General features: G+C 33.8%; 1 protein-coding gene across 8 annotated transcripts in view; it reads right to left on the reverse strand.

Annotated features, from left to right (window-relative positions):
- CCDC178 (coiled-coil domain containing 178) overlaps positions 1-14,818 on the reverse strand; it is a 503,635-nt gene that overhangs the window by 153,549 nt on the left and 335,268 nt on the right. For 7 of the 8 annotated variants that reach the window (NM_001371120.1, NM_198995.3, NM_001308126.3 and 4 more), the window contains one exon: positions 1,807-1,956. The exons of the other annotated variant lie outside the window; for it this stretch is intronic. In NM_001371120.1, coding sequence (NP_001358049.1) covers positions 1,807-1,956 — 150 coding nt within the window. The remainder of the gene's footprint in view (positions 1-1,806; positions 1,957-14,818) is intronic. 8 annotated transcript variants of the gene reach the window in all.

Here is a 14,818-nt window from a genome sequence, read left to right on the forward strand (position 1 = left end):
GGCTTTCTCTTAAAAAGCATGGGGTCTCCACTATTTATGCATGTATCGAATGTATTTGTCATTTGCCACCAAGTGATTCTTTATAAACTGATAACTGCAGATAACTGCACATATAATTTATTTTTGCTCCCCCCCGATTAGAAAAGGAAATACAGTATAGTCAATGATTATTTTCTGCTTCTCAATTATGAACAACAAATAGAACATATTTAATTTCAAATAACAATGTCAAATGCGTGAAGTGATTGGACAAATTCTTCATAGATACATACATGCCCTTTCTTTGAGTCCTGCAAAATGGTTTGAGGACACTAAGATTTTGGCAGATAGTTGTATTATCAATTCTTTCCCAAACACACTTATTTCATTCTTTTTTTTTTTTTTTTTTTTTTTTTTTTTTGAGACGGAGTCTCACTCTGTTGCCCATGCTGGAGTGCAGTGGTGCATTCTTGGCTCACTGCCATGTCCGCATCCTGGGCTCAAGTCGTTCTTTTGCCTCAGCCTCCTGAGTAACTGGGACTTCAGGGGCATGCCACCACATTCGGCTAATTTTTGTATTTTTAGTGGAGGCAGGGTTTCACCATGTTGGCCAGGCTGGTCTCAAACTCCTGACTTCAGGTGATCTTCCCACCTTAGCCTCCCAAACACTTGTACCTTGATGTATCTTCATCTTGCTATCATTTCAAGATTTTAAGAGAAAAATGCATTCTTCTCTTTCCCAATGTATTCAGAAGCTTTAACTCTCATGAGAGTAGACGGATGGCAAATAGGGAAGTACATAGGGGGATGCCAGATGAATGTAATAATTACTTACAGTCGTATAGCATCCCTTAAATTTTAAAGTAACTTATTATGAATGGCTCTTTTTTATTACTTACAAAGTACTCTGTGAGGTAAATCTTATTTTATAGATGAGAAAACTGAGGTTGGAAAAGGCAACTTGCCAAGCTCACGGAGCTAGTAGAACTTGCATTAAAATCCCACCTTTTGCCTTCCCAACATTCCATAATAGCCGTAAGTATAGCACTGCTATTCTAAACTACTGATTTATAATGCAACAATATGGGTGATACCAGTAGGAGAAAGGATCAATTTGGTTTTCATGGTTAGGTTAATTATTAAAAAATAATGACTGTATTTTCTGAAATTTGAATCCTGGGGGAAAACAAATATTTAAGGAAAATATTTTTTATTGTTACTAAGTATCTGGAGAATATAAAGGAAGTGGCTGTATTATAACACTCTAGTAATAGAACTTTTTCTTCCTTTCTGATTCATAGCATATTGTGTGCTTTACCTTTCCACTTACCATTACAGAAGATTTTATAAAATATATTTAGAATTCCCAATGATTTTCAGTAATTAGAGAAAGTCAGCTATTTTTCCAAGTTTCCAATTAATCTCCATATCTAATAAGAAAATAGTTACCAGAATTTGGAGCCTCTATACTAAAAGGACAATTTAGAGGCCTGCCATGGGAAATCACCCACTCTTAGAATTGAAATATAAAGACTATGATAATATATTTAAATCTACAGATAAAAAATTGGCATTTCTCATCATATTAATCAAAATCAAATTACTATAGAATAGTGGATTAGAAACTAAGTTTTTCATTTCTCCAATATTCTTTCAAAATTCAATTTTAAAAGGTTGATATAAATATACAACAAAACTACACAGAGAAAATAGGCCATGTTGTGGATATCATCGTCAGATCAGAGGCACCCAAACTGACTACTTTTTACTTTTGTAGTGCATATATGACATAAATCATCACCTTAAAACAATTAGAAAAACCAATACCTGTTTCTTATCTCTAATTGAAGTATCAAGTGATAGCTGTTTATCATATATATTGAAATAATTGTCCTTTTCTTTTAAGAATGTAATCTGTAGCTGTTGATACTCTTGAGCTAAACGCAGATTTTCTTCAAGTGAATCAGCTATTATTTTCTAGAAGGTAAAAAAATATAATTGAATTGTGTGTATATATATATAAACGCAATTAAAATCATTTGGATTTGTTTGAATTTTTACATCTTTTAAATTATCTAAACATGCTCTATTATGTATAGTAGAAAAATAACAAAATAACCAAAAAATGTTTCTCCTGATACCAATATCCTTTGTTGATTTAATAATATTCTTTTTTGATGCAGGTTTTTTTTTAACATTAATGTGTGATTCATCAGAGTTAGTCTGACTTTTAATTCACCTCTTTTCACTGCCTTTTTCCTGAACTTCCCTCTATCATGCCTTGAAAGGTGCCCAGTCCTGGGACCCTTTAATCAGCATCCCAGGAGCACTTTCACAGTTTCCTGTCCTCTTATACTTTTCTCTAGCCCCTGTGCTTAAATGAGTAGATGGTACCTTGTAGCTTAGAATTTCATCTCCATGAAGTTCAGAATGTTGGTACCCACAGAAAACATTAAAAACATAGATGAGGAAAGAGTAAAAGACAAAGAATAGGGAATGCAAAATTTAGAAGCACCCAGCATCATTGTTTATAATTAATATATTTTAGTTATGTTTAAATAAAAGTTAAATCTGCTAGTATGAGCAGTTGAGAACTTTATAATGTCCTCCTCCATGACTAAATAAATATATGTCAAATCTAATATAAACTCTTTAGAAAATAACTTTGCATCACTATTCATTGGCAAATTGGGGGCTATCTATAATTTTAAATTAAATGCCTGAACTGAGTTTAGTTTCTGATTTTTTTTTTTTACATTTCTTGCACAGAAAACTTACTCTGACTGCTTAAAAAATATGGTATTTATCAATAGCTCTAAATATTTTCAAACCTGTTAATCCAGTAATTTCTCTTTTGGGAATCTATCCTAAGCAAAATGCTTTATTCATTACAATGTTATTTATAATAGCAAAATAAGTTGTCAAAACATATAAATGCAGATTAATCATGATGACGATAATGATGATTCAATAACTAGATACAGAAATAACCATTGTGAAGCAATTAAAATTGTTTCTTTGTGAAAATTGCCATCACAACAAACCCTTAGTATAAGTTGTTAAAAAATATGTTGCCATGCGAGAATGTGTATAGAGGAAATGTAATTCAGCAGAAAATTGCCTGTACAAATATTTCTGTATTTACACACTTGAAGATTTATTAAAGTCAACAAACATATTTCTCATGAAAGGCTGGTATCCATATTGATCCCTAATGATAAATATTATGTCATAGCTATTCTTCAAAAAGCCAAAATGACCAACTGAGAATCATTTTAAATGCCCTTGTCTTAATTCTGTCACAATAATTTAAAACTTCAGAAATTTCTATCTATAAACTTGCCTAAAATCACATTGAATTATTTTTTGTTACGAGGACAAAGTTCTATTAATATTTTCCTTTGGTGGAGATTCTTTTCAAAAGATAGCTATACTAATTTAAGATTTTGACATTAATATTAAAATCCAATCCTGAAGTGATTAACTTGTAACATTGATAAATGTTCTACTTTAGAAAGGAATAGGCATCATTTTGAATTTTTTGTTCATTTGTTTTTTTGATTAAATCTAAGCACAACTCTGATATCTGAGACATCCTACTTCTCAGGTGCTTTTCTTTCCATTTCTAGGTGGCTACTACAAACATTTAATTTGAGAGGAGTGATACAGAGTTCCGGGATTTGCATTTTACCAATTTAATGGAACTTAATTGGGGAAATATTTTATAATATATACTTTGCTCAATGTTTAATATGCAGTTTTATTTCTAAATGCATACATGTTCAATTTCTGAATGATACCAGTTCTTCCACTTTATATATCGCAATTAGAATATATGCCAAAAAAGCAAATTGTGTAGTTATGCCAGTAAATCTTCAAAACGTTACATCAGTCACAATATTTTACATTATCATTTTCCAGTAATGAATATATGAAGGATGTATCAATTCACTACTTATTCCTGAAAGTCAGTGACCTTCAGATGTATAATGAAGTTTAAGTTTTATTAATTTTAAATAATAGTATTCATTCGACACTGAAAATGTTTAAGTTTAATTGAGAGTCCACCTCACAACTTTGACTTGTTTAACTTTAACCAATAATATTGTTAAATGTAAATGACACAAATGGGGAATGATAATTATTGGTGGAAATATGTGCAAGGGAAATAGCTCATAAAAGGATAACTGGAATGTAGAATTCTTCTTTTTTTTCACTTCTTTTATTTTCCATACTATTACATTCACTCAAAAGGCCTAAGTACATATAACACTTTCTCAAAGACAGATTTATTGTTTTTTACTCAATTCCAATTATTAATACTTATTAAGATGGTAAAACATTAGGAAGATAGCTTGCTGAAGAGAAGAGATGTAATGAATGTTTGTTAATAGTTTCCATATTGTCTAGAGTTTATTAAGGAAAATATTTTACTTGGTGATGGTTTGTTCTTTATTATCACAAATTTTTCTTTAAGCCTTGATACTTCGGGGATATTACAGCTTCTTTTCCCAATATTTTATTATAAAATAAAGATTATGCTTATAAGGACTGAACAAAATCTAGATTGTAGGTTCCATGAGGGATGAGACCATCATTTTGTTCGCCCTAAGAGATGTTGCACTGCGAAGATCTAACATAAGCAGGTGCACACGTTTTCAGTAAATGAATAAATGCATGTATGCACATAATATTAATTCAGAAATATATATATTGTGCCCTTTGGAACCACACATTTTATTTTTCAACTTCTATGAAGTAACTGATTGGCAATATAACCACCATTATAATATGGCACATTCATTATACTATTTGATACTGTACTACTTGAGAGGTGTATATATATATATACACACTTTTAAGTGTATATATACTCTTTTAAGTATATAAAGAGAAATCATACCATATGTTTTTGTATTAAAAACTATTCTAAAGATAACCATATTGTCCAGGTTTAACAAGAATTCTTTATTTTGGGTGAATCATTGACTTTCAGAAGGTATGTGAACCTCATTAAACTGTACACAGCATTTTTCTTGGGTTATTTAGTTAGCCCATGATCCCCAAAGTGTGGAAGAACCATTGCTAAGGAAAGGCTTGGCTTCCTTCTCTGTCAGCAAAAATGCTGAAAAATGGAGACAGGTTGAGTATTCAAAATACACAAATAGTAGTTCTACTCCCCACCCCCCCCACTTGACTTTTCTTGTTCTTTAAGCCATAGATTCCACTTGGACTTTTCCTCAATTTTCTCCACTTTCAGTTTATTTTTCCTTCTTCTCATCTCTCACTGGGTAAATGGGGACTAGGGACTTCCAATCAGAAAACTGGTTCTTTTTGGGAAAAAAATGTAAAAATATAAAATATAAAAATATAAAATTTTTATATTTTATATAAAAATATAAAATTTTTATATTTTATATAAAAATATAAAATTTTTATATTTTATATAAAAATATAAAAATATAAAAAATATAAAGCCTATATCATATTTCTGTTTCACTTTGTGATATACAGCAAGGAAATTAGAAATAAGGCTGAACTTGCCTGTTAAGTTATAAATTCCACATATAATAAATAACAACTGAGACTTACACAGTCACCTTCAGAAGAAAGAAAATTACCCAGGATAGTAAATCTGTATTGTAACTGAATGTAAGATATTAACAACCCTCCTCTCCCTAAAAAGAATATGCCACTTTAAAAGAAGTTGATAAGCAATGGAAGCAAAAATGAAATAAAGTCAGGGACACTAACATAGCCGGTGCCTATCAACAGGAAACATTCCTCCAGACCCAAAGCCTCAACCGTCTCAGTTCTGGAAACCATTCCACTTCCACTCTAGTATTAGTTATACTGTGTTACATTAGCTTGATGACAAAAATGAGAATTAGAAAAAGAGTAAAAGCTAATATTAGGGAGTGCTTACTATAGTCAGGAGCTGTGCTAGGAATGCAGTATTTACTGAATTTATCCTTGTAGCAATGATCTGAGACTTTATATTATTATCCGCATGTCACAGGTAAGAAAGACAAGGCCGAGAGATATCAGTTGAGGTAAACTGTATTTTCCAAAAATGGCCACAGCAATATTTTCAGTCTCGATGTTTTTTCCAGAACTTTATCACTCCCTATCCAAAGGTACAGTCTATTTCTCCTTCCTTTGAACCTGGGTAGACCTATGGCTTTTCCAGCTAATCGAGGATGCTAGAAATGATGCTAAGTGACTTCCCAGGCTGGCTTATATAATAGAAAGCATACAGCTTCTGCCTGGCCCTCTCTTTGAGGGCATTCACCCTTGGAACCTGCCACCACATTGTAAGGAATCTAGGCCAGAGGCCATGTGTAGGTGTTCCAGCAAACAGTCCTAGCTCAGTTCTCAGGCAACAGCATCAATTGTGAGTGAGTGAGTCAGCTGAAGATAAATCTAACCCCTAGCCTCCAAGTCATCCAACTGATGTCCAGAAAGGGTGAAACAGAGACATGCCATCCCCGCTCGGCCTTGTCCAAATGTCTGGCACATAGAATCATAAGCATAGTCATTTTACACCATGATGTTTTGGAGTATTTGTTATACAACCAAAGCAACTGAAATGCCAGATATCTTGTGCAAGTTTGCACAGCTATTAGGCAGTGAAGCTGGGCTTTGCATCATCAAGTCAGACTGGCTCCAGATCCTGTACCCTTAACCGTCCAATATATTCCCTTCGCAAACATGAGCCAGCACTTTTAAACACTATATGCAATGCAGTCTTCATAAAATGTAATGACATTAAATAATTAAATCAAATAACTGAATTCCATAGTTCTAAGTCCATTTCTGCCAAGAAACTGTCTTATTATAATCTGGTTAACACAGCATTTTGACATAGGTAAAACAGGCCACTTATGGAAATTAGAATGTGGTCCCAGGCTACTGTTAATTATACATAAATATGGGCATATTGGTTATATATTGTTAGTTTCTTGTGCTTTTTGATCTACATGATTCCATATCTCAGTATTTGATTAGGTCTGACGCATTCCCTGGCAAGACCAAATGCATGGACCTTCAAAGCTGGGACCTGTAGAACTGTGGACTATGGTTGAATGCAGTAGAATAATGCTACCCTTGGAGATCTGTGGAGCTTCCACCAGAGACACTTATCCTGGACAAAGTTTAAATCTATTTGAACTGTTATTTTTAAAATCAAAGGTGGACTAATGCCAAAGGAGATTACAAGAAAAAAACTTGATTCAAACATTCTAGAAAGGTGGTTATGATTAAAATATTTGCACTATACATTTAAGTACAAAAAGTGAAATAGCTGTTTACAAATACCTTATTGTTAGTACAATCATCGTGGTGTCTATGACTAAATGCATAGCAATGTGTCATATATACCCTTAATTATTCTTAATGTAGGCATTTGGATCCAGTTTACCAGGCAGAGGGGCTAGGTTTTTCTTTCAATTATGTATTGTAAGAGAGCTGTCATCTTCTGACCCAGTTCTAACTCTACTCTCCTGTCCTGATGTAACTGTCTGTTGCTGTCTTAGCTAATCTTTTCTGATGATCTGTCTGTCATCCCCTAATTCTTGGTTATTAAGAATTTACTGCAGACAGCTCCTTGCTTTCTTTCATCTCACCAGAGCTCTGCCGGCTCTTGCTACCACATCCATATTCTTGCATAGACCGCACTACATTCACTTCAGTCTCATGGATGGAAAGAATGGACTTCCCACCAGAACCATCAGAAAACAAAAAATGTATTGTTAGTATTTATTGATTGATTTTACTCCAGAGCATCCTCACATCTAGCCTTTTCTTCATTTTTTTGTTTATTTAATCATTTGTTTAGCAAACCCTTGGGAAGTTTACTTTACGGATTCAGCTCTATGGTTAGGCCAGGAATTAAAAAAAGGATAAGATATAATTCCTGTTCGCCAAGGATTACAAGCTGTAGTTGGAGGAGGCTGAAGTGTGAAGAATTCTATTCCAGTTACAGTGGAATTGATTCTATCAAGTGGGGGAACAGCATAAACAAAAAGCTTCACAGAAGAAAAAAAAATCATTGATTTGAATCAGAAGATCGAAGCTGCCCCACCACAAACGTTAGTATATATCTGAGCAAATTTGGAGGAGTCAGAGTCAACAGAAATATTTTCTTGGCCCCTTAGGAACAGTAGATTATTGTTGCCTATGGCTTGTGAATTAAACTCTCATAGATAAGGTTAAATGTTCTGCTGTCTTTTGACTTTAGCATATTACTAAGTGTAAACAATAAAATGTATCCACATATTTAGTATCCTATCAATGCATAGCATTACAAGTAATGTCAGTTCCAAGCACCACTGTTTCAATAGTATATGATCCTGTGCACATGCCCACGCATTACACCATTGATCCCATCCCAATGAATCCCCACAGGCCTCTTATATGCCCTTGGTACATTTCTGCCCTTCTCGAGCACTGGAATGATAGTTTTGCATACCGTGAGGCTTTGATGTCCTTAAAGCAGGTATTGGTGCGGAGACTGATTCATAGCATGTACAGGGGATATATTTTAGAATAAACAAGACAAGCGGGCTCCAAGTCTGTTTGTGAGTAACTTCAAAAGCATCCCCCACTTTTATTCATGGGCATTAGTGTAATTAACCCAAATGTTTAAAATACAAGCTGATCCTCTAACAATGTAGAAGACAGGGAGAAAATATCTTCTTTATTAAGGGCATCACCTACAGTGTGCATAGAAGCATTATTGCATTGCTGCTCCCTTAAAATCTATACACCAATTACTACAGAAAGCAAGAGTTCTCCCTAGTGTTTCCAAGAAGCAAGTCTGTAAGAATGATATGTGTCGATACCCTGAAGCCTCAGAGGAGCAAATAACTGTTTTAACTCTCCCAGGACCCACTTCCTTGTCTGTGCTGCCATGGAAACCATTCTCTTGTCCAAGGCGAGTTCTCTGATAATTAGTTTTAAAAGAACATTCTTGATTTGTAAATGAACAAATCAATCCTCTGCATCAAGGTTATTACATACCTTAAACTCTATGTATTATCATGTTTAACAAAATGCTCTCTATTCACTCATTTATTCAAAAGTACGTACTGAGCAAGACAGAAAAGCAGTATGGGAGGTACTGGTGGAGGCACCTTTATGACACTGTTTGATGAAAGCCTGTGACACGCAGCTGACGAATCATACCTGTCCCTGCCAGAGTCCAGGGGAATACTTCCGTTAGCTGCCCTACCCCAGCTCCCAACTATATGAGGACACAAAGGACTCCTCAGCTTACTTTCCTGACTGGGTTACAAATTTAGCTACTGCATTAATTTATGCATAAAGTTTACTAACGGACATTATGACATTGCCTCTCAGAAGAAATTCATTGAGAATTTTTGAACATCTTTTGTTAACCTTGCTTGTTCCCTATTACTATTTTTGTCTCTGTTGTATATATTTGACCAAGAATTATTGATAATAACATGAAAAAACACACAATTTCATGGCAGAAGGAGCTTGCAATCAGATAAGGGAATAGAGGCATTCACAAAGCTAACTACATCAGGATGCATTATGCATGAAGAAGGATAAAAGGCATATCCACATAACGATAGTAGTTCCATGAGAGATCAGTTCCAGCAAAAGTGATGAGCAAAGTTTCAAGGAAGCATCAGTTTGTCAACTGATTTCTGGAGATATTTCATATAAGAGCTCTGTATGTGGTCTTAGCAGGGAAAACCTGACCCAGAAATACAGATGCTTATTAATTATTAAAAAACACCTGATCAATGTGGGTGTGTGTTAAAGAAAGAAACATTTGTCTCCATACTGACTATAGTATTCCTCCTATAACTATTGAATAACTTAAAGAAAACCTTACACAAATGCCACTTATGTTAGCTATTAAATTTCCATTTGGTCAAGTTTTCTTCAAAATCATTTATGTCCCTTCAAATAATTTGATATAACTGATTACAGAAATAAATTATGTAATAAGAAAAGGAGCAAAAATCGGTTTCACCTAATCTATATCCCCAATGATGTTTTCTAAATTAAAGGACATTATTTAAATGGTTACAGTATTTAAAGTATATGACATCTTAGAATAATCCGTGGCACAATTTTTGTCCTCAGTAAGTGACAGGCACAGTAATAATTTCTCTAAATTTATTAATTGTGTATTAAATAAACTTAAAATTTTTAATCCTGAATATATTTTTGAGTTTAATATTTTTTCTGATATCAAGAGTGTTAGAAACATATTTGATGTTATGCCCTTGTTAACTATTCCTATGCATTATAATCATTTAATTATATTTTAATTTGTTGATATTTTAAAATATATTTTAAGAATATATATTCTAAAATATATATTTTAAAAGTCTGCTCCTCTTTTCACGGCATCATGTGAAAGGCTGAACAACCATTTCCTCTTCATGTGTACCTCCTGATTTGAACAGTTTAAGATGTAGAAAGGTTTCCTATTTACTCACATTTTAATGATATACATTTCTACTTCACTGGCGGAAAAGGCTGATCAGTCACAGAAAGGTCAGTTAACACTAAATAGACCCTTTCTTTATGTAATTACAAAGAATAATATCTTTGTACTGATGGCACTGCACATCGAGTGGGTGATGCAGAGAATTAATGTGCTGCCTTCTTGGCCCATGGGATACAGATTCCAATACAATAACCACAACTTATTCTAATTATGCAACTTTAAAAGGTCATCAGCAAAAACAGTTAAGGAATTATGAACTAACTTTATCATAAAGTAATAATGTACTGTATAAATGCAGAAATTGTAAGAACAGTACCTAGAAACTTCATTACAAATGAGAGAAAAACTGATCTAAGGGGTTCCAGAACACATATTATGGCATAAATTAAGTAAAAGCTTTGAATGATTAAAATATGTATATTTTGCAAGTTGCCACTGATGTAGTCAGATAACCTGATGCCACTTTACATTTGTAGAAAATGGTTAATTTTGAAAGCACTTTATATATTTAATGCCAGTTTTATTGTCGTATCTATGTTACATCAGAATTTAAATATTTCTTTTAGAAATCTGTTTGTTATGAGGTAATACATGCTGATTATATTATATACAAAATAACAGAGAGGTACATGGAGTAGAAAATTAAAACCTTTCTTCACGTGACTGTCATTTCTATACTCCAGAGATAGCATTAACAATTTGGTGCAAGTCCTTCAGAAATAAAAATTTAAAAAAATTTTTCTACATCGATAATGAGGAAATAGGGGCAACGGAAGTCAATTTCTTGCCCAAGGTCACACATGGACAGAACATTAAGGCTAGGGTCCCCCCTAATTTCAGTCTGACACCCTTTCTGGGTTTACATCCCCTCCTAATCTTGGGTATGAATTGCAGAACCCTTAAGATTCTAGTATGTAAATGCTCTAATTTCTGAATACCCTATAGAATTACATCAGCCTTTCAAAATAAATTAGATACTCATGGAGGAGAGTGCTTTGAAGTAAAAAAAAAAAAAAAAAATAGGCCTCAGTCTTTTCCTTGGAGATTCAGGGTCAGAAAACATTAGGGCTATTGCCACAGATGTGCCAACTATGAGAAGTTCAGCAAATAATTTGCAGTCTAATACAATATCCTTATGGGTTGAATTACTGGTAATGTCTTCATTCTTTTGCTGCTTTATTGGGAAGGAAGAGATTATGAGCATCTTTACTCACCTGGTACTGTTGTTCACATTAGAGCACTGTCCAAACCTTGCAACGTATCCCAAGCAGAAATATGATATAAAATATCTAAGGCAATTTTCTACAGATAACCATTTCGGGATGTATCTACTTCCCAAACTAATTTAATCTTGGTATAGGGGAAAATGATATTCTAGATCAGGGATAAGCCAACTATGGCTCTCCAGCCAAATCCAGCCCCTGCATGCTTTTGTAGATAAATTTTATTGGAACACCTCATACTCATTGGTTTACATATTGTCTTCAGTCTCTTTTGCTTTACAGTGGCAGAGTTAAGTAATTGCAATAGAGACTGAGTGGACCATAAAGCCTGAAATATTTACTGCCTGTTCCTTTATAGACAAACATTTGCTAACCCCTACTATAGAGTCTTAATTAATATATTAGTATCGTGCTGTATTAGTCCATTTACACACTGTTGATAAAGACATACCTGAGACTGGGAAGAAAAAGAGGTTTAATTGGACTTACACTTCCACATTGCTGGGGAGGCCTGAGAATCATGGTGGGAGGCAAAAGGCAGTTTTTGCATAGTGACAGCAAGAGAAAATAAGGAAGATGCAAAAGTGGAAACCCCTGATAAAACCATCAGATCTAGTGAAACTTATTCACTACCATGAGAACAGTATGGGGGAAACTGCCCTCATGATTACATTATCTCCCAACAGGTCCCTCCCACAACCCCTGGGAATTATGGGAGTACAATTCAATATGAGATTTGGTGGGGACACAGAGCCAAACCATATCACGTGCTTAATGAAGTTCCAATTTAAACCTCTCATTCAAGATCTATTTGGGCTCTACTTAGGCCTAAGCATAAAAAAACATGGTTAGAAAGCATTTTTATTTTTCCAGCAGAGGACCATAGTAAGGTGACACAGCCAATCAACAGTCACTTCAAAATTATCTCGAAGTCCTTAAAAAAAAAAAAAGAAATCTTTGTGAGCTTTGTAAGTACTCTCAAAATGGACTCAATAACTTTGTAAAGAGTAGTCAGAGCTGTTAAAATACCATAAATCTTGCCCAAATGTGTCTACCCCACGCCTTCTTTAATTAAAAGTGGTTCATAGAGGTCTTGCATTATAAGTAGATAGAGAGGTCTGCTCAGTTTTTGACTCCTGAAACTTCTGTTGGGGGGCTCAGAATTAATTTCATGTTGCTGAGCTAAGCTAAAGTTTAATTTCATGGGCAGCATAGGTGTCCATTCATTTGTAGAATGGCTAAGTAAACTGTGAAGGACTCTACAGTGATGAGAAGAAATGGACTAGACAAATATTATAGCCACACAGAATGAACTTTAAAATATGGGGCTGAGCAGGGAAGACAGAAACGGAATAATAAATTTTGCATAAATCAGCTCATAAAGGAAAGTGCCAATGGGCAATTTGATAGAAACAATATTTACAAATCAAAGGGGGAGGAAATAAATGAAGAGTTAATATTTTGAGGATATGTGAGTCTACATGGTCAGCAATGACACTGCCACTGCTCTCTCTTAAAATGATTAAGTAAATGGATATCTAGATCTTCCAGGTTTTTCCAGGGGCTTAATAGAAAACCTCTAAAGAAGGTAAACCAAATATCAAACATGTCTAGAAATCCAATTCTGTAACCATAGATCTCTCAGGATTCATAACCATGAGATTTCTTCTACCAACTAGCCTCAATCAGAAAAATAAAGGCATAAAATCTGTCATCATTAATAGTTACCGAATTCATGGTTGTTTCTCTCTATGCCTTCTTTTTATCTCATCTATGTTTTTCTTCAACTTCTATTTATTTTTCTATCTTCTCTTTTCTTCCTTTTGTTTCCCCTCATTATCTTTGTCAAGCATAAAACATTCAAAACATTCAATTATTTAAGGTCCTCTTGTCACTCCTGAAAACACCATCTTTTCGTCCCATCATTTCCTCAGCCCTCTTTCTTCCCACATTAAGGTGTGGAAATAGAAATACGTCAAAAAACTAAAAATCTCTGGGGAAATATTGAATGACCCACTTTTACGTTTTTCCCACAAAATGAAACACTTCAGGTAGTACGATGGAAGGAAGGTTAAACATAGATGGTGTAATTCATTACATGGCTGCCTTCTTTTTGATGTTGGCCATATATTAATTTGGGTAGTTATGGTAACAAATGTATGAAATTAAAAACATTTGGTTTACCTGGAAAAGTTAGTAAGAGGTATTTTATAGTTCTATATAAATATGACATTTTAGCCTGGTAGGGAAGTGTAAGTGTGCCATTGTAATAAGTTTCCATTAGTAAGCTAAATATGTGACAAATACAATTATATTCTTTTATATGCACAAATACACAAATAATTCTTTTTATATTTGTAACTTATTGACAGATACGAAGAGAAGTAGAGGCTGATAAGGAGCAAAACAAGCTGAAATCTCCTTAGGAGGAATGCAGGACTCAAAAGCAATAGAACTGGAATTTGTAATGAGGCATTTGTTATTGAAAAGTAATTCTTAATTAATTGATACTAAATATTGTGCATACATATTGGTATGTGAAGAAATGTGTAAAAATTAGCATTCTTGGAAAACTACCACTAAGTCAGGCACAGTTAGTACTTTTTACATGACACTATGCATAGCTCTGTCACTGCAATCACCATGTTTTATTATAGTTACTATCTTCATATTAATTTCCCCACTTCTGTGAATTTTTTTGTGCCATAAAAACTTTCTGCTCTTATGCTTGGTACATAGTAGTTTCTCAGTAAACATTACTGAACAATTTAGTAAATGTGTGAAACTGCATTAATACCAATACTTTCGTGGGCACAGAGGTACATTTATGAAGAAAATAGATGAACTAATTACTAATAATTTTTATATTTTAAAAGTGTCCACTTGAGTCATGTGTTCTTAAATGAGAGGACTTTTCAAAGAATTATACAGGAATGGTATTTTGTTTGTGTGTGTGTTTTTATTCAGTGGAGAAACATTTCACAATTCATTTTTACAACATAAAAACACAGAAATTTATCTATGTACATTTTCACTGAGAAAAATAATAAGGTTTCCAGTTCCTTAAATCCTAGTTTGCAAAAGCATTTTACTGTGTAATCTCTCTGTGTTGCATTCCAGTTTACTT

The sequence above is a fragment of the Homo sapiens genome, chromosome 18, assembly GCF_000001405.40.
Source record: "Homo sapiens chromosome 18, GRCh38.p14 Primary Assembly".
Taxonomy (NCBI): Eukaryota; Metazoa; Chordata; class Mammalia; order Primates; family Hominidae; genus Homo; species Homo sapiens.